The sequence below is a fragment of the Homo sapiens genome, chromosome 20 (assembly GCF_000001405.40).
Source record: "Homo sapiens chromosome 20, GRCh38.p14 Primary Assembly".
Taxonomy (NCBI): Eukaryota; Metazoa; Chordata; class Mammalia; order Primates; family Hominidae; genus Homo; species Homo sapiens.
In genome coordinates this window covers 43,786,122-43,812,702 of record NC_000020.11, presented here as the reverse complement: position 1 = coordinate 43,812,702, position 26,581 = coordinate 43,786,122, and the positions used below count along the sequence as shown (strand labels likewise).

General features: G+C 40.7%; 1 long non-coding RNA gene and 1 pseudogene across 1 annotated transcript in view, besides 2 other annotated features; one reads left to right on the top strand and one right to left on the bottom strand.

Annotated features, from left to right (window-relative positions):
- Nucleotides 1-26,581, bottom strand: part of LOC101927200 (uncharacterized) — a 91,977-nt gene that overhangs the window by 8,193 nt on the left and 57,203 nt on the right. Inside the window, exon 2 of the long non-coding RNA XR_936741.3 lies at nt 435-548. This is a non-coding gene — a long non-coding RNA (uncharacterized LOC101927200). The remainder of the gene's footprint in view (nt 1-434; nt 549-26,581) is intronic.
- Nucleotides 13,175-13,314: an enhancer, noted in NCBI's record as "active region_17914". NCBI's record gives its function as "activates an Ori minimal core promoter by ATAC-STARR-seq in GM12878 lymphoblastoid cells {active_cell/tissue: GM12878}" and the evidence as "EXISTENCE:reporter gene assay evidence [ECO:0000049][PMID:35858748]".
- Nucleotides 13,325-13,424: an enhancer, noted in NCBI's record as "active region_17913". NCBI's record gives its function as "activates an Ori minimal core promoter by ATAC-STARR-seq in GM12878 lymphoblastoid cells {active_cell/tissue: GM12878}" and the evidence as "EXISTENCE:reporter gene assay evidence [ECO:0000049][PMID:35858748]".
- RNU6-639P (RNA, U6 small nuclear 639, pseudogene) lies at nt 16,160-16,266 on the top strand (annotated as a pseudogene).

Here is a 26,581-nt window from a genome sequence, read left to right as displayed (position 1 = left end):
TATGTTTCTATGTCCAAACTTCACCATTTTTATAAGGATACCAGTCATTGGGTTAGGGGCCCACTCTACTGACCCCATCTCAACTAATTACATCAGCAACAACTCCATTTCCAAATAAGGTCACATTCTGAAGTACTGGGGGAATAGGACTTCAACATATGAATTTGAGGAACATGATTATATCTATAACCCATTAACTAATGCAAATATAAGGACATTGTCCAAACCACAAAAATGAACAAACACCCTCTGTATTAGTTACCTAAGGCTGCTATACCAAATTACCTCAATCTTCATGGCTTGAAACAACAGAAATATGTTTTCTCACAGCTCTGAAAGTCAGAGTTTGAAATCAGTATCACTGGGTCAAAATTAATGTGTCTGCAGGTCTGCACTCCCTCCCCAGAGGCTCTTGGAAAGAATCCATTCCTCACCTCTTCCAGTTTATGGTGGCTGTCAGCATTCCTTGGCTTCTGACCACAACTTTCCAGTCTCCACCAATCAACGTTTTAAAATCTCCATTGTCTCTATCTTCATATTGCCTTCTCCTGAGAGAGAGAGAGAGAGAGAGTTTTCTTCTGTCTCTCTCTTATAAAGACACTTATGATCATATTTAGGACCCACCCTGATAATCTCCCCAATCTCAAGACCCTTAATTTAATCTGCAAAGACAACTTTTCCATCTAAGGCAGCATTCACAGGTTTCAGGGATTAGGACCTGATATCTTTGGCAGCCATTATTCAGCCTACTATACCCAATATGCTAGCTAATGAGGGTGGCTGCTGCTTCCTTACCAATTTCAGCTTTAATCGCACTTCATTCTTCCCACTTTCTAAACAAGATTTATTAAAATATCCAATCACAGAATTTCCTCCACTTCCAGAAAGCTTCCACTTCAGAGAAAAGCCTTGCTTCTTTGAAACCTCCTCAAAATCACTTGACACAAATCCTGTAATGGATCCTTCGTGATACCTCTCATGAGGTGCCTCACAGTTCCCCCGGGTGTGTGGTCTCTCTTGTTGCAAGGTCAATAAACTCAACTTTGTTCAAATATAGGATATGCATGGTGGTATTTGGCTGGAGAATATTAACAGTGGCATTAAAAACCACGGGATGGACTGGGCACTAGTGGCTCATGTCTGTAATCCCAACACTTTGGGAGGCTGAGGTGGGCAGATCAGGAGTTTGAGGTCAGGAGTTTGAGATCAGCCTGGCCAACATAGTGAGACCTTGTCTCTACTAAAAATGCAAAAATTAGCCAGGCATGGTGGTGTGTGCCTGTGATCCCAGCTACTCAGGAGACTGAGGCAGGAGAGTCACTTGAACCCAGAAGGCAGAGGTTGCAGTGAACAAAGATTACCTCACTGCACTCCAGCCTGGGAAACAGAGCAAGACTCTGTCTCCAAAAAAAAAAACAAAACAAAACAAAAAGATGTCACAAAGAAGACAATGCTTGTCTACAAAGAAGTGACATTATCAAAAAATGGCAAAGTGAGAACTTCCAAAAATTCTTTCTTCCATAAAAGCAATGAGAACACTGGCAGAATTTGTCAGAACCAACTATTTCAGAACTCTAGAAACAAATCAAAGCTTACAGCAATCTGAGGAGCATTTATTGAAGGAAAACAATGAATCTTCATAAGAACCTTGAGCTTTGTGACATTTTAACTTGACCTCAACCCATTCCTGCTCTTCAGCCCACAGTAACCTTGAAACCTAACAGCCTATAATCACAGGAATAACCAATAGCCTACCAGCCCCTGGAGAAGTTAGAAGGGGGCTGGAGCTCCTTTAAACCTCCATTCTCAGAGAATTGTCATTATTTGACCTGTCTGGAAGCCCCCTGCAAAATCCCACTCACAAGCCATGTCTTTATTTGACCTGACTCAGAGTTCATCCATTGTGAACATTCTTTTTTCCCCCTTTGGGGGCTTTTGTCAAAAACAATATGCAGAATTATTTAACATTGTACATGCCTGAAGGGAAGATAACAGTTTGGGAAAACAACAAGCTAACCAAAAAGCTTAAAAGGAAAACCTAGAGAAAGAAATTCCATAGTGGGTTTTGAAAAGAAGGCCATACATATGTGTAGGGCTGTGTACATGATCAAGAAAGACATGAGAAGGGCCTAAGCACTCACCTCTGGCTGACCTTCAGCCTCTCTGCAAGCAGACAGTGAAGACTAAACCAGAGTTACAAATTGCTTGGCCGAGTATTGAAAGTGTGCCCCAGCATGCAAACAGAGCCCCTTAACAAAGACTGGGAGACTTACTGGTTCTGGACATTTAAGGAAATTTCTGCCTGATCGATAACTGATCACTAAGCTAACCTGAGCAGAGGCTTCAGTGGTCACACACAATAAAAAATACAGACTTTAAGAATTAGTCCAGGAAAGTCACCAAATAAACAAATAATGACAACAATAACCAACAGCAAAAACAACAAACCCTAGGAAGAAGCAAGAATCTGATTTCCAGAGTTGTCACATGTTATTTAGAATGTCCTGTTTTCAAACAACAACAACAACAACAACAAACTTTCAAGACATGCATAGAAACAAGAAAGTATGGCCCATATACAGGAAAGAAGTGGTCAACAGAAACTGTGCCTGAGGAAGCACAGACATTGCACTTAATAGACAAAGCCTTTAAATTAGCTCTTTTAAATATATTCAAAAAACAAAAGAAATCATGTCTAAAGAACTAAAGGAAAGTATAAGAATAATGTCTCACCAAATAGAAAATATCGATAAAATGGAAATTCTGGAATTGAAAAGTATAAGAAGTGGAATGACAACTTCACTAGAGAATTTTAACAGCAGATTTGAGCAGGAAAGATAAAAAATAAGGCAGCCTTTAAGATTAATCCATTGAGGTTTTCCAGTCTGAGAAAAATTTTTCAAAAGAATTAAGAAAAATGAACAGAGCCTTAGGGACGTGTAAGACACCATTAAGTGTACCAACACACACACCATGGGAGTCTCAGAAGTAGAGAAGAGAAGGCGATAAGAATATTTGAAGAAATAATGGGCAAAAACTTCCAAAATGTTACAAAAAAAATTCATCTACACATCCAAGAAGCTCAGTGAACTCCAAGTAGGATAAACTCAAATAGCCATGCCTAGACACACCATAATTAAATGGTGAAAACCCAAAGACAAAGAGAGAACCTTGAGAGCATCCAGAGAAAAGTGATTCATCACATACAAAGGATCCTCAATAAGATTAATTTAGATGACTTCTTGTCAGAAAGTATGGATGCCAAAGTCAATGGAATGACATATTCAGAACACTGAAAGACAATGACTGTCAACTAAAAATTCTATATCCAGCAAAACTATCATTCGAAACTGAAGGAAAAATAAGAACTTCCTATATTTAAAAAAAAAGAGACAGAATTTGTTGCTAACAGGCCTGTCACGTAAGAAATACTAAAGGGAGTCCTTCAGGCTAATATAAAAGAACACTACACAACAATTTGAATAAATATGAAGAAGTAAAGAATATCAGTAAAGGTGAACTACACAGGTAAATTAAAAGGCAGTGTATAGGCATTTTTTGTTTGTAACTTTTTCTTCTATTTGTTTTAAAAGACAATTTCATAAAGCAATAATTACAAAACTGTATTGAGGGCAGGTGTGATGGCTCATACCTGTGATCCCAGCACTTTGGGAGGCTGAGGCATGGGCATTGCTTGATGTCAGGAGTTTGAGACCAGCCCGGGCAACATAGTGAGACCCTGCCTCTACCAAAAAATTTTTTAATTAACCACGCACGGTGGCACACATTTGTAGTCCTAGCTATTCAGGAGGCTGAGGCAGGAGTATCACTTGAGTCTAGGAGTTCAAAGCTGCAGTGAGCTATGATCTTGCCACTGCACTCCAGCCTCAGTGACAGAATGAGACTCTATCTTTTTTTTTTTTTTTTTTTTGAGATGGAGTCTCACTCTGTCACCCGGGCTGGAGTGAGATCGTGTGATTTTGGCTCACTGCAACCTCCATCTCCCAGGTTCAAGCGACTCTCCTGCCTCAGCCTCCCGAGTAGCTGGGATTACAGGTGCACACCACCATGCCAGGCTAATTTTTTGTATTTTTAGTAGAGACAAGGTTTCGCCAGGTTGGCCAGGTGGGTCTTGAACTCCTGATCTCAGGTGATCCACCTGCGTCGGCCTCCCAGAGTGCTGAGATTACAGGCATGAGCCACCATGCCTGGCCAATTCTATCTCTTAATAAAAAAACTGTATTGATAGGCATACAGCATATAAAGATGTAATCAGTATGACAAAAACAGCACAAGGTAGGAGGGAGGTAATAGAGTTATTTTTTTAAAGTTTTTGTATGCTATTGAAATTGAGAAGGGATTAATCTGAACTTCATTGTTATAAGTTGTTAATTACAATTCCCAGGGTAATCACTAAGAAATTTACTTCAAAAAACACATAGTAAAGGGGAAAAAAAGGGTTTTTTAATGGTACACAAGAAAATACCTAGCTAATACAAAAGAAGACAATATGGATGCATAGAGGAATACAAAAGATCCAACATATATAGAAAACAAATAGTAAATGACAAATGTAAATTCTACTTTATTAGTAATTACAGTAAATATAAATGAATTAAACACTCCAATCAAAGGGCAGATACTGACAGAATGGATTTTAAAACATTTTTCATCTATGTGCTATTTATAGAGACACACTTTAGATTCAAAAACACCAATGAGTTGAAAGTAAAAAGATGGAAACAAATGTGCCATGAAAACAGTAACTAAAAGAAAGCTGTAGTAGCTATACTAAGATCAGATAAAACAGATGGTAAGACAAAGATATTTTACTAGAAATGAAAAAGGAAATTTTATAATAATAAAAGGATCAATCTACACAATAATTATAGGCTGTATCCTTTATCCAAAATGCTTGGGACCAGAAGTATTTCAGATTTTGGAATATTTGCACATACATAATGAGATATTTTGGGGATGAGACACAAGTCTAAACAAGAAATTCATTTATGTTTCATATGCACTTTGTACACATAGTCTGAAGGTAATTTTATACAATGTTTTAAATAATTTTATGCATGAAACAAAGTTTGTATACAGGTACGTTGAACCATCACAAAGCACGTGAGGTCAGGACTAGAATTTGTCCCTTGTGGAGTCATGTTGGCACTCAGAAAGATTTGGATTTTGAGATGCTTCAGATGTCAGATTTTCTGATTAAGGAGATCAACCTGTATAAACATACATGAACCTAACAACAGAGCTCCAAAATACATGAAACAAAACCCAACAAAATTGAAGGAGGAAATAGACAAAAGGTCAATAGTTAGACACTTCAATAACCCATTATGATAATGGATGGAATAACTAGACAGAAGATCAACCAGAAAATAGTAGATTTGAACAATCCTATAAACAACTAGACCTAACATCTATGAAACATTCCACCTAACAACAGCAGAGAATTTGTTCTTGTTAGGTGCACATAAAACATTCTCAAGGATAGACCATATATTAGGCCATAAAACAAGGTTTAATAAATGTAAAATGATAGAAATTATATAAAGTATATTCTCCAACCACAATGAAATAAAATTAGAAATCACTACCAGAAGAAAATTTGAAAAATTCACAAACGTGGATATTAACACACTCCTGAGTGACCAATGCTCAAAGTGATAGATATTCTAAATACTCTGACTTGATCATTACAGATCCTATGCATGCAACAAAATATCACATGTACTCCATAAATGCATATAAGTACTATGTATCAATAAAAAACCAAAAGGAAGAAATTACAAGTATATTAGAAAATCCTTTGAGATGAATGAAAATGAAAACACAACATACCATACATGGGATGCAGCTAAAGCAGTGCTTAGAAATTTACAGCTGGAAATGTCAATATTAACAAACTAAGAAAGATTTCAAATCAATATCCTAAACCTCCACCTTAAGAAACCAGAAAAATAAGAGCAAACTTAACCCAAACAAGAAAAAGAAAGAAATAATAAAGACTAGAGCAGAAATAAATGAAACAGAAAATAAAAAATAATAGAGAAAACTCAATAAAAGCAAAAGTTGGTTCTTTGTAAAGATCAACAAAACTGGCAAATCTTTACCTATACTGACAAGAGAAAATAAAGAGAGAAGACTCAAATTACTAAATCAGGAAAGAGGTAACATTACTGCCAATCTTACAGAAATAGAAAGGTTTATAAGCTGGGCACAGTGACTCACACCTGAAATCCCAGCACTTTGGGAGGCCAAGGAGGGAGGATTGGTTGAGTCCAGGAGTTCAAGACCAGCCTGGACAACATGGAGAAATCCCATCTCTACAAAAAAAAAATACAAAAATTTGCCCGGTGTGGTGGCCCACCCATGTAATCCCAGCTACTATGGAGACTGAGGTGGGAGGATTGCTTGAGGCTGGGAAGTCAAAGCTGCAGTAAGCCATGTTTGCACCACTGCACTCCAGCCTGGGCAATGGAGCAAGACCGTGGCTCAAAAAAAAAAAAAAAAAAAAAAAAAAGGTTTACAATGGAATATTATGAACAATTGTATACCAACAAACTAGATAACCTAGAGAAAAATTGAGAAATTTCTAGGAAGAAAAAAACTACCAAAACCAATTCAAAAAGAAATAGAAAATCTCAATGAAACTATAACAAATAAAGCAATTAAATTAATAATCAAATCACTTCCCACAAACCAAAGCCCAGGACCAAATGGCTTAACTGGGGAGTTCTACCCAACATTTAAAGTAAAATTAATACCGACTTTCCACAAACTCTTCCAAAATAAAGAATAGGAAGGGGCACCTTCTAACTCATTCTTTGAGATCAATATTACCCTGATACTAAAACTAGACAAAGACATCAGACAATAAAGAAAACTATAGATCAATATCCCTTATGAATAAGCATAAAAATCCTCAACAAAATACTAGCAAACCAAATCTAGCAACTTATAAGAAGAATTATACACCATGACCTAGTGAAATGTATCCCAGGAATACAAGATTGGTTCAACATATGAATATTAATCAACATAATACACCATATTAATAGAATAAAGGACAAAAAACACACGATCATCTCAAAGGACCCAGAAAAAGCAACTGAGAAAATCCAACTACCTTTTATGATTTAAAAAAAAAACTCAAAAAAAAAATAGAAAGAAGGAAACATCCTCAATCTGGTAAAGGCCATCTACAAACAAACAAATCCACAGCTAACATCATAGTTAATGGTGTAAGACTGCAAATTTTATGCCTAAGATCAGGAAAAAGACAAGGATGTCTCCACTCATAACTTCTGTCCAACATTGTGCTGGAAGGTCTAGCCATGACAATCAGACAAGAAAAAATAATAAAAGGCATCCATTTTTCCAAAGTAGAAGTAAAATTGCCTGTATTCACAGGAGACAGGATCTTGTATGTACAAAATCCTAAGGAATCCACAAAATAATTGAACAAGTTCATCAAGGTTGCAGGATACAAAATCAACATAGAAAAATCAATTTTGTTTCTATATACTAGAAATGCACAACCAGAAAATGAAACCTAAAAAACAATTTCATTTCAAATAGCAACAAAATAAAATACTTAGGCTTTTACACTGAAATTACAAAACATCCTTGAAAAGATTTAAAGAACACCTAAACAAATGGGAAAACGTCCACGTTTATGGATTGCAAGATTTAATTTGCTAAGATGGCAAAATTCTTTGATTGCTCTACAGATTCAAAGCAATCTCAATCTAATCCGAGCAGACTTTTCTGCAAAAAGTGTCAAACTGATCCTAAGATTAACATATAAATACAAGAGACCTTTAATAAGCAGAGTAACCTTGAAAAAGAAGAACACAGTACGAAGACTGAAACGTCCCAATTTTAAAACATATTACAAAGCTACAGTAATCAAAACAGTGTGAGACTTTCATAAAGATAGACATATAGACCAAAAGAATAGAATTGAGAGATCAGAAATAAACCCTTACATTTATGATCAATTAATTTTTGACAAAAGTGTCAAAACAATTTCAGAGGGGGTAAAATTGTCTTTTTAACAAATGGTGCTAGGATAATTAGCCAAAAAAATTTCTTTACAAAAAGAATTAATCGAACCCCTACCTCACTCTATATATAAAAATTAACTCACAGTGGATGCAAGATCTAAATGCAAGAGCTAAAATTATAAAATTCTTAGAAGAAAGTTAGGTAGAAATCTTTGTGACCTAGGATTAGACAAGAATCTCTTAGATATGACACCAAAAGCACTAGCAACAAAAGAAAAAAATAGATAAATTAGACTTCATCAAAATTTAGGACTTTTGGCCAGGCACAGTGGCTCACACCTGTAATCCCAGTGCTTTGGGAGGCCAAGGTGGAAGGATCACCTGAGGTCAAGAGTTCAAGACCAACCTGACCAACATGGCAGAAACCCATCTCTACCAAAAATTACAAAAATTAGCCAGGCATGGTGGCACATGCACCTGTAATCCTAGCTAATTCAGAGGCTGAGGCGGAAGGATCACTTGAACCCAGGAGGCAGGGGTTGCAGTGAGCCGAGATCACGCCCCTGCACTCCAGCCTGGGCGACACACTGAGACTGTCTCAAAAAATAATAATAATAATAATTAGGACTTTTGTGCTCCAAAGAATACTATCAAGAAAGTGAAAAGACAACTCACAGAATGAGAGAAAGTATTTGCAAATCATGTATCTTATAAGGGAAGAGTATTTGGAATATATCAAATATGTTTAAAACTCAACAATAATAAGACACATAATCCAATTTTATAATGAGTGAAAGGCTTAGACATCCAAAGATATACAAGTGGCCAAGAAACACATGAGAAAATGCTCAATATCATTCGTTATGAGAGAAATGTACACCAAAACCCCAATGAGATACTACTTAGCATCCACTAGGATGGCTATAATCCAAGAGACAGAGAATAACAAATGTCAGCAAGGATGTGGATAAATTGGAAGACTTGTGCGTTGTTGGCGGGAATGTAAAATCATGCAGCTGTTTTGGGAAAGAAGTTTGACAGTTCCTGAAAAAACTAAACATAGAGGGACTGAGCAATTGAACTAATTAAACAGCCATGGGCAGTGAAAACATGTTGAAATAAAAACATGTCCACAAATATTCATAGAAGCATATTCATAATAATCAAAGAAATGAAAACAACCCAGTGCCTACCCATTGATGAATGAATAAATTATGGTATATCCATACAATGGAATATTATTCAGTCATAAAAAGGAGTTGAGTACTGAGTTCTTCTACAACATGAATGGATTTTGAAAACTTTATGATTCATGAAAGAAGGCAAACACAAAAAGTCACATATTGTATAATTCCATTCATATAAAATGTCCAGAATAGGAACATTTGTAGAGACAGAAAGCAGATTAGTGGGTTAGAGGAAAGGGCTGCTATGTCTGACTGGGTGATCAGGGAAGGCCTCTCTACAGAGGTACCATTGGAAGAGTCCTGACAGGGTGTGTCATGCAGATTCCCTTGGGAAGCACATTCCAGGCAGAGGGAACAGCCAGTGCAAAGACTCGGAGCTTGTGGGAAGGGATAGGAGGCAGGGCAGGTAGGCAGAACTATGTGCTGTCAGGCCTAGAGTGCAGGATGGGGAATTTAAAGTTTCTCCTAAGGTAGAAGGAAGCTTTGGGGGGCCTTAATGGTACATGGAAGGTTGGGGGTTGGTTGGTATTGAAAAGACTTCCCTGGCTCTCATGTTTAGAATAAACTGGGGGGGTAGCAAGTGTAGAATTGAGTAGACCAGATCAGAGAGGAGGGAAGAAATGGACATGGCCCTATCCCCAGTGGGAGCTGGGAAAACAGAGACAAGCGGACACATTTAAGAAAGCTTGTTGGCCAGGCGCGGTGGCTCACGCCTGTAATCCCAGCACTTTGGGAGGCCGAGGCGGGTGGATCACAAGGTCAGGAGTTCAAGACCAGCCTGGCCAAGATGGTGAAACCCCCGTCTCTACTAAAAATAAAAAATTAGCCGGGCGTGGTGGCAGGTGCCTGTAGTCCCAGCTACTCAGGAGGGTGAGGCAGGGGAATTCCTTGAACCTGGGAGGCGGAGGTTGCAGTGAGCCGAGATCGTGCCACTGCACTCCAGCCTGGGTGACAGAGCGAGACTCTATCTCAAAAAAAAAAAAAAAAGAAAGCTTGTGGAGCTAGAGTGGATGAGATTTGCTGATGCACTAATGTCCATCTCCCAGCAAGAACTTTTTCCTCTGTTCCTTAGAGGCTTTTATTCTTCCCTCACCCATCTGTAGAGAGAGAGCAAATGAGGGTATTTTTAGAAAGTCTTTAGGAGTGAAAGCTGAAGAGATGAAAGTTCCACTATCACCTGGACTGTCAAAACTGAAGCACGGCCTGTCCACAGACACAACTACATGGGAATGTTCGTGGCAGTTTATACCTAATAGCCTCACACTGGAAACCACACAAATGTCCATCAACAGAAGAATGGAGAAATTGCATGTATTCCTACAACAAAATACTATAGACAACAATGAGAAAAAACAGTCTACTGCCACCAGCAACAACACTGGATGCATCTCAAAAACGTTATATTGTGCAAATAAAGCCAGGCAAAATAGGAGTATATGCCTATGATTATCATACGAAGTTCAAGCACAGGCACAACAAATTTAACATATAATGATAGAAAGCTGATAACTTATAGTGATAGAAATCAGTGGTTACCTAGCGGTGGGAAGCAGAGATTGACTGGAAGGGGGCACAAGGGAACTTTCTGGAAATCTAAAAATGTTCTATATCTAGATCTGGGGGGTGGTAAATGGGTATATATATTTTATTTTATTTTATTTTATTTTATTTTATCTTATTTTATTTTATTTTTTGAGACAGAGTCTCACTCTGTCCCCCAGGCTGGAGTGCAGTGGCACAATCTTGGCTCACTGCAACCTCCGCCTTCTGGGTTCAAGCAATTCTCCTGCCTCAGCCTCCCGAGTAGCTGGGATTACAAGTGTGCACCACCATGCCTGGCTAATTTTGTATTTTTAGTAGAGATGGGGTTGCGCCATGTTGGCCGGCCACCGCGCCCAGCCAATAATGTCTTAATAAAATATGGTGCTGACATGGACAGAGCACAGAAAATGCTCCCCAAGCATTTGGGAGCCCAGCAGCAACAAGGGGGGTGCCGAACTGTGCTCTCCCCAGGCCTGGCTCTCAGGAGGGCAGCTGACTACTCTTGCATTTCCCCAACACCTGAAGGTAATGCAACAGCTACCACAGGTCTCATGTCATTCTCTCAAAGGGTTCTGAACTCTCTTTACAAAAATTCTGTTTCCCTCTTGAACGTCATCGTTGAAAATTCAAATGTCCCACAGATGCCGGGAAACAGCCCTGAGCCAGGCATGGGCTGGTTGAGCGGGTGAAAGAGGAACGACCAGCTCTGGTGAGAAGCCAGGTCAGGCTGTAGCTGCATGGGACAGTCTGGGTTAAAAGCACAGGCTCCAGAGCCACCCTGCCTGGGTTCAAGTCCCAGCTTTGCCCCTTACTAGCTGAATGACCATGGGCATGTCAGTTAACTGTTTGGAACCTCAAATTCTACCTGTGTGAAATGGAAATAATAATACCAGCCTCACAGGGCCCTAAACTTATGTATATATCTTTAAAGTGCAAGGACACCCCATCGCCTATATCTTAATGGATGGAATATCCTGTCCCATCCCTGACATTGGCTTTCTACCTCAATGTCCACCACTGCCCACAGCTGGCCCTCTCGCTTGACTTTACACTCCACCAGCACCTACTGAGGCTGGGTGCAGCAGCTCATGCCTGTAATTCTAGCACTTTGGGAGGCCAAGGCCAGAGGATCACTTGAGGCCAGAGCTCGAGACCAGCCTGGGCAAAATAGTGAGACCCTGTCTTTATAAAAAAATTTTAAATTAGCTGGGTGCAGTCGTACACACCTGTGGTCCCAGCCACTTGGGCCCCTGAGGCAGGAGGATCACTTGAACCCAGGAATTGGACGCTTCAGTGAGCTATGACTGCACCACTGCACTCCAGACTGGACAACAGAGCGAGACCCTGTCTCTAAAGAAACATAAAATAAAATAAAAAACAAACAAACAAAAACCTACTGAGCACTCTCCCACTGGAGACACACCACATGCTGCGGGGAGATGGCTGGAACCTGGCCTGTTTATGCTTTGGTCTCACCGTTCCTGTCCTCTAACACACTCTCTTCCTACCCAAGGCCTTCCCCTCTCCCCACCCTCACTCCTGTGGCTAACTCATACACACCCTTCAGATCACCCTGATGTGTCACTTCCTCTAGGAAGCCTCCCCTGATTCTGTCTGCTTTGCTCGTGTCTCCTCTGTATTCCCCACTAGCAGAAAAGCTCCTGGCATCTGTCCTTTTGCTGCTAAGTCATCTTCAGGACCCAGCACAGGACGTGGAACCTGCAGGCATCCTGCGAGTGTTTGCTGAATGAGAATGGGCGAATGAATGAATGACCATAATTCTGCCTGAGAAATTAGGGAAGGCTTCACAGAGGAGGTGACATTTCACTGAGTCCTAAAGGATAAGTGGAAGTTGACCAGGGGAAGAGTTGAGGGGCAGTGTGCATGGTTGAGGATTGTGGCTGAGCCCCGTGCCTTCTGGGGCCCAAAGGGGAGGAGGCCATTGAGGCTGAGATGTTAGGCTAAGATTTTAGGGCTTGATCCTGTAAACCATGGGTTGCCCTCCGCACTGCCTGAGCGCGAACTCTGTGGACTCTGGTCCAGCCAGCCTGGGTCTCCAAGATTCTAATGAACAGCCAAGTTTTGGGGCCCCTGCTGGGGCATCAAGAAGAAAGCCAAAGCTGAGGAGACTTTCAAGCAGAGAAGGAACATGATCACATCTTCAGACTTACCACTGTGCAGGGAGTGGTGCCGGACAGAGGAAGAGGGTCAAGTTCTAAGAGGAGGGTCAGCCTCAGGCCACTGTGCTTAAGATGACAGAAAGGGGAAATCAAGGGCGATTCCAGCTCCCATTGTCTGTAGGGCATGAGGGAAGCAGTGTTGAGGCTGAGTGATGAAGGCGGTGAGTCGTGGTTTTACTGCTGTGGTAGTAGGCAGAAGATCTAAGAGAAGCAGATGTTCATGATCTGTGTACCAGGCTGCACAGCTCACCCCTCTCAACACATACAAATGCACAGGCAGCCCTTCCCTCTGAAGCCAGCTGAGCATCGCTGGAGACGCCATCCTCACACCCAGCCTAGCTGAGAGTCTGGCTGAGATCTGCAACCTTATAAAAAATTGCCTGCGCACACATTGCCAGGACCAGACCCGGCACAACTCCAATTTCCACAGTATCAGTTTCCACGGAACAAGACAAGCAGTGGCTTCTAGAAGGAGCTTCAGGCTCCAACGGTTTTGCCTTTTCTCAGAAGCAATTGCTACTTTCATAAACGCTGGGTGGGGGCGGGGGGAGATAGCACAGACAGTGGCTAAGCTATGCTCATTACAGGCAAGTGCTGATACAGAGAGGAGAAAAAAAATCCAGCTTGTACTATCTCCAGATATCAGTGTTGTGACTTCTAACAGCATCCACTGTATCTTGTTTCATTACAACTGCCAAAAAGAAAAAAAAATTGAATTACCATGCTAATGTCTTCTCTTTTGGTGAAATCTGTGATTCTGGTACGTGGATATAAAATACATCGTTAGTTGCTTTTAAACTTGTCTCTAATGATGAAAATAACATTGCAGGGCATGAAGGGGAGACATAAGTAAACTCAGGGGGCTGGCAGCACTGGAGAACCTCTCATAAGCCCGTAATGTGACAGTGTACTTTCTTTCTCCCTCCAAGATGACAGTTAATTCCAGACTAGGAAGGCTGTCAAAAATGCTTAGTTCTGCTCCACTTGAGTTAATTACCGGCCCTGGGGCAGGCTGCCCTCTACTCCTCTGCTAATGGGGCTGGGCTCCAGGTAAAAAATCCATTTGCAAGAATGTTTTCCTTGCTCCAGATCTAATTTATTGAATATCAAATATTTATGCCAATGCAATTAAAGTGACAACATTGCTCTCCCTTCTCCCCTGCCCCCAGTCCTAGACGAGCCCCGGATGGCTGACAGAATGCTTTATCCAGTCAACACAGGATGAAAGTTTTACTTGAGCTTCTAAAGCAAGAGCTTTAAAACCCCTTTAACCCACAAAGTCACCTGGGATTCTTTTATCTTCTTCTCCTTTGTAGGCAGCCACGTGACTGGCTATGGAGCACTGACTGAGATGCTGAGGCAGGAGGCTCAACTGTGATTTCAAATCAACCAACACTTGCTGCAGCCCTCTGTGTGCCAGGCACCAGACAAGGCCCTGTGACTGAGCAAGATGGAATAGGCTCAGCCTGTTTCCACAACAATCTTGCAGCCTGACAGCAGAGACAACTTGGGGCATGCACAGAAGAGTGAGAAACACTGACGATGCAGATAAGCTGGAAGGTTCTAGGTATACGTCCTTAGAGATCTTGGATTGGGGGTCTCCAAGGCTTGAAGGCCACCCAAGATCCCCTTCCACCCAACCAGACCTAACTACAGAAAGTTTCAGATCCAGCCAAGTGTATTTCATTTTTCCCAAAACGCTACTCCCCAGCAAGAGGGTCTCAGACTGTCCAGACCTGGAGCTTTGGGCCATTCATTCCCTCTTAGACAGCACCCAACCCTGCTCCACCCCCATGAAGCTCTTGCATCACGAGACACATGATTTGGCATCTGCCCCAGAGGAGTGATGGGTAAAGGTGAGCCCATGGACAATCACATGTGTACCCTCCCTGGTACACTCTGGAAATGGGAAGAAGAAATGCAGCTGGCTAAAGAGGACTTTCTTTTTCTTTTCTTCCCTAAAGCAAGGGAGCTCAGCAAAGCTTACGGCAGCATATTTGAGTTGTGCTATACCTGCTACCTGGCTTGAATTCCTTCAAGGCCTGGCTGGCTACACTCACCTCTCCCTTCTGACAATGGAACAGAGGCCTTTCCTTGGGGCTGAACTGGGTTGTGAAGGAGAAACAGGCATCACAAGGTGGGCCACATGGACAAAGGCCGAGTAGAGAGAATGCAGGACATTGCGTTCAAAGAACTAAAAGCAGATGGATTTTTATTGTAGCCTTAATTGCAAGGGAGCAAGCCCTGAGAATGTAAACATCAAATGAGGTAATCTAAGCATGTTAGAAAATGTCAAACTATGGATAAATGTGAATTACTACCTATATCACTGAGGTGATGGGGAAACCAAGTGATATGTTATATGCATACTAGCATTACATAAATTATAGTTGTTACAGGATATTTTGGAAGATTAAGCTTCAACCATGGACACTGATTTTAAAATATACCTATCTGTCTATTTCTTTTCATCCTACCTTTTTACAGGTGTTCATAAACTGAGAATTATGATCAATTTCTTCTCTGTTCTCTTTTCCAAATGAACACACTCTACCCAACTTTAACCTTTACTTTTAGATATTCTTAGTTTCCTGTCAATTTGACCACCATGCTTCAGGTTTGAAGCATTGTGATCATGTTTTATGGACAGACCATTCTTCTGGCTATGAGTATGAGGGTAAGAGAGTTGGTATTTATATCCCTTTTTATGTCTTCAGTTATCACCTGCTATGGTTTGACTGTGTCTCCCAAAAAGCATGTGTTGGAAACAGAATCCTCAATGCAACAGTGTCAGGAGGTGGGGCCTGTTAGGAGGCGGGGCCTCATGGGAGGTGTTTAGTCATGAAGGCTTCACCTCCATGAATGAATTTAAGGGTTTGAGGCTGTGAGTTTGACCATTTGCTCCCTCTCTCGCCCTCTCTTTGCCCTCCCACCATAAGATGACATAGCAAGAAGGCCCTTGTCAGATGCCGGCCCCTTGATCTTGGATTTCCTGGCCTCCAGAATCATGAGCCAATAAACTTCTGCTCAATATAAATTACCCAGTCTGTGGCATTGTGTTACAGCAGCAAGAACTAAGACACCACCTTATTCAAATGTATTATCACACCACATCTAAGCTTCTGTCATAATTTGAGCTGTATACACTGCCTCGAAGCTTTGTCTCAAAATCATCTTCCTCTTAGCTGGTCAAATATCAATATTATGTTTACCATTAAAACTAACTGTAGTGCTTGCTTTGGCAGCACATATACTAAAATTAGAACAATACAGAGAAGATTAGCACGGCCCCTACACAATGATGACATGCAAATTCATGAAGCATTCCATATTTTTTAAGAAAAAATTATATACATTAAAAAAGCTAACTTCAAAAGGACCTCTACTATAGCCAATGTGATAAAACAAGAAAAATAATAAGGGGTAAAATGGTTGGAAAGGAAGAAATACATTTATCATTATTAGCAGGCAATATAATTACATATGAGAACACCAAAAAAATCACAGAAAAGCTATTCAAACTAACAAGAGAGGCCAGTAAAATGGTCTAATACAAAGTATATTTGCAGCTGGACTCAATGGTTCATGCCTATAATCCCAACACTTCGGAAGGCTGAATTAGGAGGATTGCTTGAATGCAGGAGTTTGAGACCAGCTTGGGCAACATACCGAGACCCGTCTCTACAGAAAAAAAAATAATAATTTTTTTAAATCAACCAGATATGGTGGTGCATGCCTATAGTCCAGGCTAATAGAGAGGCTGAGGTTTAAGGATCACTTAAGCCCAGGAGGTTGAGGCTGCAGTGAGCCATGTTCCCACCACTGCACTCCGGCCTCAGCAACAGAGTGAGATCATCTCAGAAAAAAAAGTATCTATTTGCGTGAAGCAACAGTTTTTCTATATATAACAATAGCCAATTAGAAATAAAACAGAAAAATCTGGTTCATGATATACATCTAGCTACCTTACTGACATCTCCATAAGAATGTATCACAGAAATTTCAGCACAAAAGTGAATTTTGGATCTTCCACTCCAATATTTTCCTCCCCCAGTGCTCCCTAATTCCATGAAGCGCTCTTTCATCTACTTACTTGCACAAGACAGAACCCTAGGATTCTTTCCCTTTCCCCTCTCCCAAACTCCCATCCCCAAATCTGTCATCAAAGCCTGACAACATACTCTACGTCCATCCACTCATCCCTCCAACCCAACTGCCTCTACGTTAGTTCAAGCCTCCATTATCTCTCACCAGGACAACTGTAGTAGCCCTCACTCTTCTCCTCTTTTGTGTTCTTGCCCTCCCCAATATGTCTCTATGAAGCAGGCATAAGGACCCTTTAAGATTTTAAGCTAAATTACACTATTTCCCAGCTGATACCCTTCAGAAGCCGATACACCCCATATCCTCAGCATCACCTGCATGCCTTGGCTTCCCATGGTCCTGAGGACCCTTCTAGCTTTGGCTCAAGCCAATCTCCTCCTCACTACCTGTGCTGCAGCCATGCCAGCCCCCTTTTGTTTCCTTTAATGCCCCTAGTCTCTTTCCTACTTCAGGGCCTTCGCTCTCTGTCTTTCCTCCTGGGAGTAAGAATCACTGACCTTCCTTCAAGAAGACTGAGGAGAGCCAGAGGACATTAGTCCTTGCCAGAGATCACCCTGACTTTCTGGGCCTCAGTTTCCCTGTCTGCAACCCCAACTCGTTGAACTAGAGATTCTCTCTGGAATTGCATGAGCTGAGATTTCAGTAAGAGTTGACAGCAATTGAACTGGTGGAGAAGGAGAATGGGAAGTGGGGAAGAGGACAGAGGGGAAATGGTCCTGGGAAAGAGGACAGAGGGGAAATGGTCCTGGGGAAGAGGGCACAGAAAGAAAAGCCTAGAAAACTATGGGTAACCACTTTCAGGGAGCTTAAAACACTGAGTGCTATTTAGCAAAACAACTCAGATCAAATCTTAACAGGATTTGGGACCATCATAAAAATCTTGTCTGAAGACAGAAAAAGCCAGTGAACTCGCCATATTGAAATATTAAATACATGCACTATATTGAAAATTTGGTTCTACTGCATGAAAATAATCCACATTATCCAAAGCCAAGGGGGGAGGAAAAAAAGGCTATCCATGTAAACAGCTTCTAGCTAGCCAAAGAAAGGGATACCTTAGCTGCTTTTGTTCCTGGCTTTCACAGAGACTCCTGGCTGCCAACTCAAATCTTTCTTCCTAACAGAGCTTTGGTTTCACCCAAGGAAGCAGTCCAATTAAAACGCCGCATTTCCCAGCTTCCTCTGCCAAGAGAGGTGGCCACATAGCATAGTCTGGCAAATGATACTTAAGAAGAGGCTGCTGGGTGGACTTCAGAGAGATGTCACAAAAGGCAGGGCTGGTACACATTCTTTTTTGCCCTTTGTTTGCCACCCTTTCTCCTTCTTCCTTCTTCAACCATCTTGTGACCTCGTGGTGATGATAAGGAACAGGCCAAGAGAATCAGAGACCGCCATGTAAATCCCACCTCTGCCACCTGCAAATTCTATGAACTTGGACAATTTGCTTAACCTCTCTGAGCCTCATTCTTGTCTGCAATATGGGAGTCATAATGCCTCACTTGCAATATTGTTAAGATTAATTGATATGTTCGTATTGTTCTGAGAAAAAAAGATAAATTTAAATAGTTTATCACATATAGGCCACAGCACTTTGTAAACCGTATAGCTCTAAAAAAAAAAAAAAAGCTAAATTGTTTATTTTTTCCTCCTCCTTATTTTGTAAGTGACAGATTCTTCTCCCAACCAAATCTAAAATACTTTAAAAATTAGGATGCTACATTTCTACATGACATTCTTTCATTATAGGAATGTCTATTTCTTTGACATCACACCAGTCCACTTTGTTACAGATGCTGCCAGAGGTCCTTTTATATGCAGTCTGGCCACATGCAAATCACAAGTTATCTTGTATTCTCCAACTTTGCCATTAAAGTTAACTTGGGCCAGGTACGGTGGCTCACACCTGTAATCCCACCCTTTCGGAGGCCAAGGTGGGCAGATCACAAGGTCAGGAGTTCGAGACCAGCCTGGCCAGCATGGTGAAACCCCATCTCTACTAAAAATACAAAAATTAGCTGAGCGTGGTGGCAGGCGCCTGTAATCCCAGCTACTCGGGAGGTTGAGGCAGGAGAATCGCTTGAGCCCAGGAGGCGGAGGTTTCAGTGAGCCGAGATCATGCCATTGCACTCCAGCCTGAGTGACGAGAGCAAGTCTCAAAAAAAAATTAATAAATAAAAAATAAAGTTAACTTGTATTCTTCAATTTTAGCACTAATTATCTTCTAAGTAAAACAGAAATTTCAGATGCATAATTCTTTAAAAAAAAACCTCTCTTTTCAAAGGTGCAGGTCTGTTTTATTGAGCATTATGATGGGTCTCAATCAATCTAGAATTCCACATCCTTCAGTTCTAGAAATTTTCCTTAAATTATTTCTTTGATGATGTTTGCCCTTTCATTTTCTGTACCCTTTCACTCTTAAATTCCTGTTTTTTGGATGTTGGACGCCCTAGTCTGTTTCTCTAGTTTTTCTTATCTTTTTCTCTTCTGTTTTCCATTTTTTTGTAGATATCACTTTCTTTTTGAAATATTGACTCAACTTTATCATTCAATCCTTCTGGTAAATTGTTCACGTTTGAGCATTTTTTGCTTTTAATTTCTTTGAGTTTCTGGTGTTTTATTGTTCTCTGAATTCTGTGTGTTCTTTTCATCAGCATTCCTTACTTGTTTCATGAATGCCATATCTTTCTATCTTGTGTTGTATCTCTGAGAATGTTAACGCTTTTAAGATTTCTTCTCCCTGCATCGTCTAACTCCTCTAGGTTGCTTCTTTTCTTTGCTTATTTGTTTGTCTCTGTCCTTCATGGTAGAGGCTTTACTTAAATGTCAAGTGACCTTTGGTTTTCTGCTCATATTAAACACTGAGACACTAAAAATTGATTGGGACCTCTGAGCTTTTCAACAAAGAGTCATACAAGGAGATCTGAACAGGACATTTTGTTGAGAAGACTCCAATGTCAGTGTCTTTAGGGCTCTACTCCTGGGCTTGTCATATGCTCCAAAAAAGAATCTTTCCATCTTCTGCCTGGCTACCAGCATTCTGGGAGGTGAATGGGATCTTAACATTGAGAATAAATCTCAATCACGTCACTTGCATGCAAGAAATCCCAAATGATTCCTCACTGTCTACAGGTTAGAGTCTATACAAGTAAAGCAGTTAAATCTTGCTCATTCCAATATGCTATTCCAAAATTAACTCTCAGCCAGCTCCCTTCCTACCCACATTCCAACTTCCAACTGGACCCATTTACTTTTGGGTCACAGAATTACACGGGAAATTCTGTGAGTTTCCCGTGTCTTAGTCACAAGTCATCTGCACCCTTCCCCTCTCACATCTCCCTGATAGCTCTGAAAAGGCATCCATCTTGCACCCTTTTTTATGCTGAGTAATTGGACTCAGACTGAGCTCCCCTAAAGCTTCTACACCTACATCTGTCACTGCTGTGTATAACACAAACGATGCTAAAGAGATGGGAACCACCCTCCCTAGGAAGCCATGGAGAATTCTAAATAATAAACACTTCTTTCCTATCACACAAATTAAACAACCCAATCACTTAGATATTTTTAAGTGCTCTCCTGGATAACATTTGAGCTAAAGAGCAAAAATCAAAGCGGCAAACAGACTAGTTAAAAACAATGGAAAAGAGAAAACATATAAGAAATCTCATGGGATGAGACAAAGCTGATTCATAGGCAAATTTGTAGCCTTAAATGGCCTTTATGGCTAATCAGAAAAGAATAAAAATAGGTAAAATAAACTTTCATTTAAGTAATTTGGTTTTAATAAAACATCAAAATAACCAGGGGAAGAAAGCAGTAAAACAGTTAAAAGCAAATATTATTGATTAGTAACCTTAACAGTCAGAAAGACAGTAGGATTAATAAATAAATTTTAGAGTTGGTTCATGAAACAGCTTTGCTTCTACCTTTAGAAGAAACACAAACAGGCCAGTCATGGTGGCTCACATCTGTAATCCCAGCACTTTGGGAGGACGAGGCGGGTGGATCACTTGAGGCCAGGAATTCCAGACCAGCCTGGCCAACATGGCGAAACTCTATCTCTACAAAAAATACAACACTTAGCCAGGCATGGTGGTGCACTTCTAGTCCCACCTACTTGGGAGGCTGAGGCAGAGAATCTCTTGAACCCAGAAGGTAGAGATTGCAGTAAGCTGAGATTGCGCCATTGCACTCCAGCCTGGGTGACAGAGCGAGACTTTGTCTCAAAAAAAAAAAAAAAAAGAAAAAGGAAAAAACACGAATAAATGTTATAAATGCCAAAAGGGAAACTATAGGTTTTAAAACTCTAAGAGGACTCTACCTACAATTATATGCTTATAATTTCAAAACTGCAATGAAATGGATTATTTTCTGGGAAAACATAACATTAAAAAATTGCTTTAAAAATTGCTTCAACAAAAACTAGACTATCTGAATAGAACAATAATAAAGGAAAAGTTTAAAGAAAGTTCTTAAAGTATTGCCTCCTAAAATGGTTATAGCCTCAGATGATTTCACAGGTGAGTTACCTCACCTTTCACAAAACAAATAAATTTTGTAACATTAGCTCTTTCAGGGCATGAAAAGAAAAAGATGTAAATCTTTTTTTTTTTTTTTTTTTGAAACAGGGTCTCACCCTGTCACCCAGGCTGGAGTGCAATGGCACCATCATAGCTCACTACAGCCTCCATCTTCTGGGCTCAAACAATCCTCCTGCCTCAGACTCCCAAAATGCTGGGATTACAGGCATGAGCCACCATGCCTGGCCAAAAAGATGTAAATCTTATCAGTTCATTTTACAAAGCTAGCAAAACAATTGATATAATATTTTCAATGAATCTCAAAAACATTATGCAGCCAGGCACCGTGTAGTCCCAACTACTCAGGAGGCTGAGGCTGGAGGATCACTTAAGCCCAGAAGTTTGAGGCTGCAGTGAGTTATGATCACGTCTGTGAATAGCCACTGCACTCCAGGTTGGGCAACATAGCAAGACTCCATCTCCAAAAAACAAATTTAAAAAACTTTTTTTAATTTTTTAATAAAAACTTTATGTTGAATGAAAGAAACCAGATACTGAGGAATACAAACTATATGATCATATATAGGACAAGTTCAAGGACAGGACAGACCCAACTAATCTCTGGTGATAGAAATCAGGGAAGTGGTTGCTGGGGTGTGGATCGAAGATTGACTGGAGGGGCCATGAGGAAATGTTCTGGGACCATGAAAATGTGCTATATCTTGATCTAGATGATGGTGACTGAGGTATACATATTTGTCAGAATTCATCAAGCTGTACACTTAAGGTGTGTGTAGTTTATGTAAATGATATCTCAATAATGTCCTATTAGGAAAGACAAAACCTTGTAACTGTGACTTAAAAGATAGTCAACAACAACAAAAACAGGCCAATCACTCTTAATATGTTATACATACAAAAATACTAAAAAGATACAAGCAAACATAATCCTGCAATAGACTGGGAGAATAATACATCAAAAAACTCCAAGGTTGTTTCAATATTAGAAGTCTATTACTATAACAATTTGTAGAAGAAAAAAACTATAATAATATTTAAATTAGTCTATAAAATTCATTTAATAAATTCAAATGAAAAATAATACCTCAAGATGATAAATAAAAATTAACATTTCAAACCAAATGCCAAAGTCATCCTTAACAGTGAAATTCAGGAGGCAACTTCATTAATGTCAAGAACAAAACAAGGATAGTCACTGTTCCCACTGCTGTTTACTACTGTTCTGAAATTTCTAAGCAATGTACCAGACCAGAAATAGATGTGAATCATAACTACAGGAAAGAAAGCAACAAAAGTATTATTTTCAGTTTGTGATAATATTGTCTTTCTAGAGAACACAAGAGAACCAACTGAAAAACAATATTATGACTGTATAAAAAATAAATATACACAAACAAGTAGTGATGTTCACTGAAGCAGTGTCATACTGAACAATTGGAAACCACCTAAATGTCCAATAATAGAAGATTGGAGAAGAGAAGTATGCAACACAGTAGAGTATTATACAGCAGTTAAAATAAATTAAGTAAAGAATATTAAGTGGATCTGGGTGCGGTGGCTCACACCTGTAATCCCAGCACTTTGGGAGGCCGAGGCGGGCAGATCCCTTGAGGTCAGGAGCTCAAGACCAGCCTGGCCAGCATGGGGAAACCTCAACTCTACTAAAAATACAAATATTAGCCTGGCATGGTGGCGGGCACCTATAATCCCAGCTACTTGGGAGGCTGAGGCAGGAGAATCGCTTGAACCCAGGAAGCGAAGGTTGCAGTGAGCCAAGATCGCACCACTGCACTCCAGCCTGGATGACAGAGCGAGACATTGTCTTGAAAAAAATTTAAAAAGAATATTAAGTGAAAAAGAAAATGCAGAAAAAATATGCACAATGTGATACTTTAAGAGTAATGTTTAAAAACACACTACTCAGTAAGCAACAAAAACACACAACCCAAATCAAAAACAGACAAAGGACTTGAGTAGACATTTGTCCAAAGAAGATATACAAATGGCCAATAAGCCTATGAAAAGATGCTCAACATCACTAATCATTAGGGAAGTGCAAATTGAAAACAAGAGATACCACCTCACACCCATTAGGATAGCTACTATTAATAAAGGGGAGAGAGGCCAGGTGCGGTGGCTCACACTTGTAATCCCAGCACTTCACCTGAGGTCAGGGGTTCAAGACCAGCCTGGCCAATATGGTGAAACCCCGTCTCTACTAAAAATACAAAATTTAGCCAGGCATGGTGGTGTGTGCCTGTAATCCCAGCTACTCGGGAAGCTGAGGCAGGAGAATCACTTGAAACTTCGAACCTGGGAGGCAGAGGTTGCAGTGAGCCAAGATCATGTCATTGCACTCCAGCCTGGCCAACAGAGCAAGACTCCGTCTCAAAAAAAGAAAAAAGAGAGAGAGAGAGAAAACAAGTGTTGGTAAGGATACAGAGAAATCAGAGCTTTTGTACACTGTTGGTAGGAATGTAAAATGATACAGCCACTGTAGAAAACAATATGGCAGTTCTGCATAAAATTACATATGATCTAGCAATTAGACTTCTGGATATATACCCAGAATTCAAAGCCGTGTCCCAAAGAGGTATTTGTACACCCATGTTCACAGCAGCATTATTCACAATAGCCAAAAGGTAGAAGAAACCCGAGTGTCCATTGATGAAAGAGTGGATAAACAAAATGTGGTACCGTATGTATGTGTGCATATGTATGTGTGTGTGTGGTGTGTGTGTATCTACATACACACACAAAAATGGAATATTATCCAGCCTTAAAAAGGAAAGAAATTCTGACACATGCTACAATATGGATAAATCTTGAGGACATTAAGCTAAGTGAAATAAACCAAACACAAAAAGACAAATACTATATGATTCCACTTACATGAAGTCTCTAGAATAGCAAAATTCATAAAAACAGAAAGTAGAATGGTGGTTGTCAGGAGCTGGGGGAATGGAAGTGTCATTCCTTAATGAGTACTGAGTTTCAGTTTTGCAAGATGAAAGGACTTCCGGAGGTGGATGGTGGTAATGGTTGCACAGCAATATGAATATACTTAATATCGCTGTACTTAATATGCTAAATGGACTTCATATACCAAATTATTTAATTACTTAATTAGGTGAGTAATTAAATTAATGTACTTAATATACTAAAATGGTTAAGATGGTAAATTTTATGTTATGTATATTTTACTGCAATAAAAAAATTGAAAAAAAAACACACCAAACTACGCTGCTTGAAAAAATACAAAAACATGGATGTGAAAGATAACTTATCAATTTCTGGACATTGGCTGCCTCTGGGGAGACAGAAAGGGGAATGAGCTGGGGCCAGAGCAGGATATCAAGGGGCTTCTGATGGCCGGGCACAGTGGCTCACAACTGTAATTAATCCCAGCACTTTGGGAGGCCAAGGCAGGAGGATCACTTGAGCCCGGGAGTTGGAGACCAGCCTGGGCAACATAGTGAGACGCTGTCTTTACCAAAAATAAATAATAATAAAAAAATTAGCCAAGCGTGGTGGCACATGCCTGTAGTCCCAGCTACTCAGGAGGCTAAGGCAGAAGGGTCACTTGAGCCCAGGAGACTGACGCTGTAGTGAACTGTGATTGCACCACTGCACTCCAGCCTGGGCAACAGGGCGAGACCCTGTCTCAAAAAAAAAGAGGGGGGGTTACTGCAGCTATAATTGTGCCTTCTTTAAAGAATAAAAAGTCCTGGGGAAAAACACTCTCCATCACCCAGGCTCATTGTGCCAGAAATAATCCCCAAAACTTCCCTTGCAGCCTTTCCACTCAATCCTCTCCCCAACCCCAGCAACCACACCTCTGATTTCCATCACCAGATGTGAGTTTTGCCAGTTCTTGACATTTATTTAAATGGAATCATGGATTTTCTTTCAGCCCTTCTTGGTCTCTCCCCAGAAGACACCTCCTCTGGGACACCTAGTCTCTCTAAGAGACCTGTAAGAGGCGGAGCCACGGTCAAGGGCCACACACCATCGTGTTCTTGGGCTCTGTGGAAGTCAAGGGATGCTGCCTCTCAAAGGAGGCTGCTCCTCCCAGGGCTTGGAGCAAACACCCAGAGAACATGGACCAACCCCTCACACGCTTAACAGATCTCCTCTGTTACTGACCAAGATAGCTATGTCAGTAGGACAATCCGTGGGGAAAAGACTTCACTCACAATATAGATAGATGACAGTTTCTTTTTTTTTTCTTTTTCTTTTTTTTTTTTTGAGACGGAGTCTCACACTGTCGGCTGGAGTGCAATGGCATGATCTCGGCTCACTGCAGCCTCCGCCTCCCAGGTTCACACGATTCTCCTGCCTCAGCCTCCCAAGTAGCTTGGATTACAGGCACACACCAGCACACCCAGCTAATTTTTTGTATTTTTAGTAGAGACAAGGTTTCACAACGTTGGCCAGACTGGCCTCAAACTCCTGACCTCATGATCCACCCGCCTCAGCCTCCCAAAGTGCTGGGATTACAGGCATGAGCCACCACACCAGGCCAGATGACAGGTGCTTAATGTAAGCACTACTGACATCTGACACTAATAATTTTTGTGTGTAGGGGCTGCCCTGGGCATTGTACAATGTACAGCAGCATCCCTGGCCTCTACCCAACAGATGCCAATAGCTAGTTTCCAGTTGTGACAACTAAAAATATGCCCAGAGATTGTCAAATGTCTCCTGGGAGATGATCCCAGTTGACAGATGATAGATTGATAAATGATTGATTGATTGATTAATTTTTTTAACCTACAAATAAAATGTTTAAGATATATGCAGGGCCAGGTGTGATGGCTCATGCCTGTAATCCCAGCACTTTGGGAGGCCGAGGCAGGCAGATCACCTAAGGTCAGGAGTTTGAGACCAGCCTGGCCAACGTGGTGAAACCTCATTTCTACTAAAAATACAAAAAACTAGCAGGGCGTGGTGACGGGCACCTGTAGTTGCAGCTACTCAGGAGGCTGAGGCAGAAAAATCGCTTG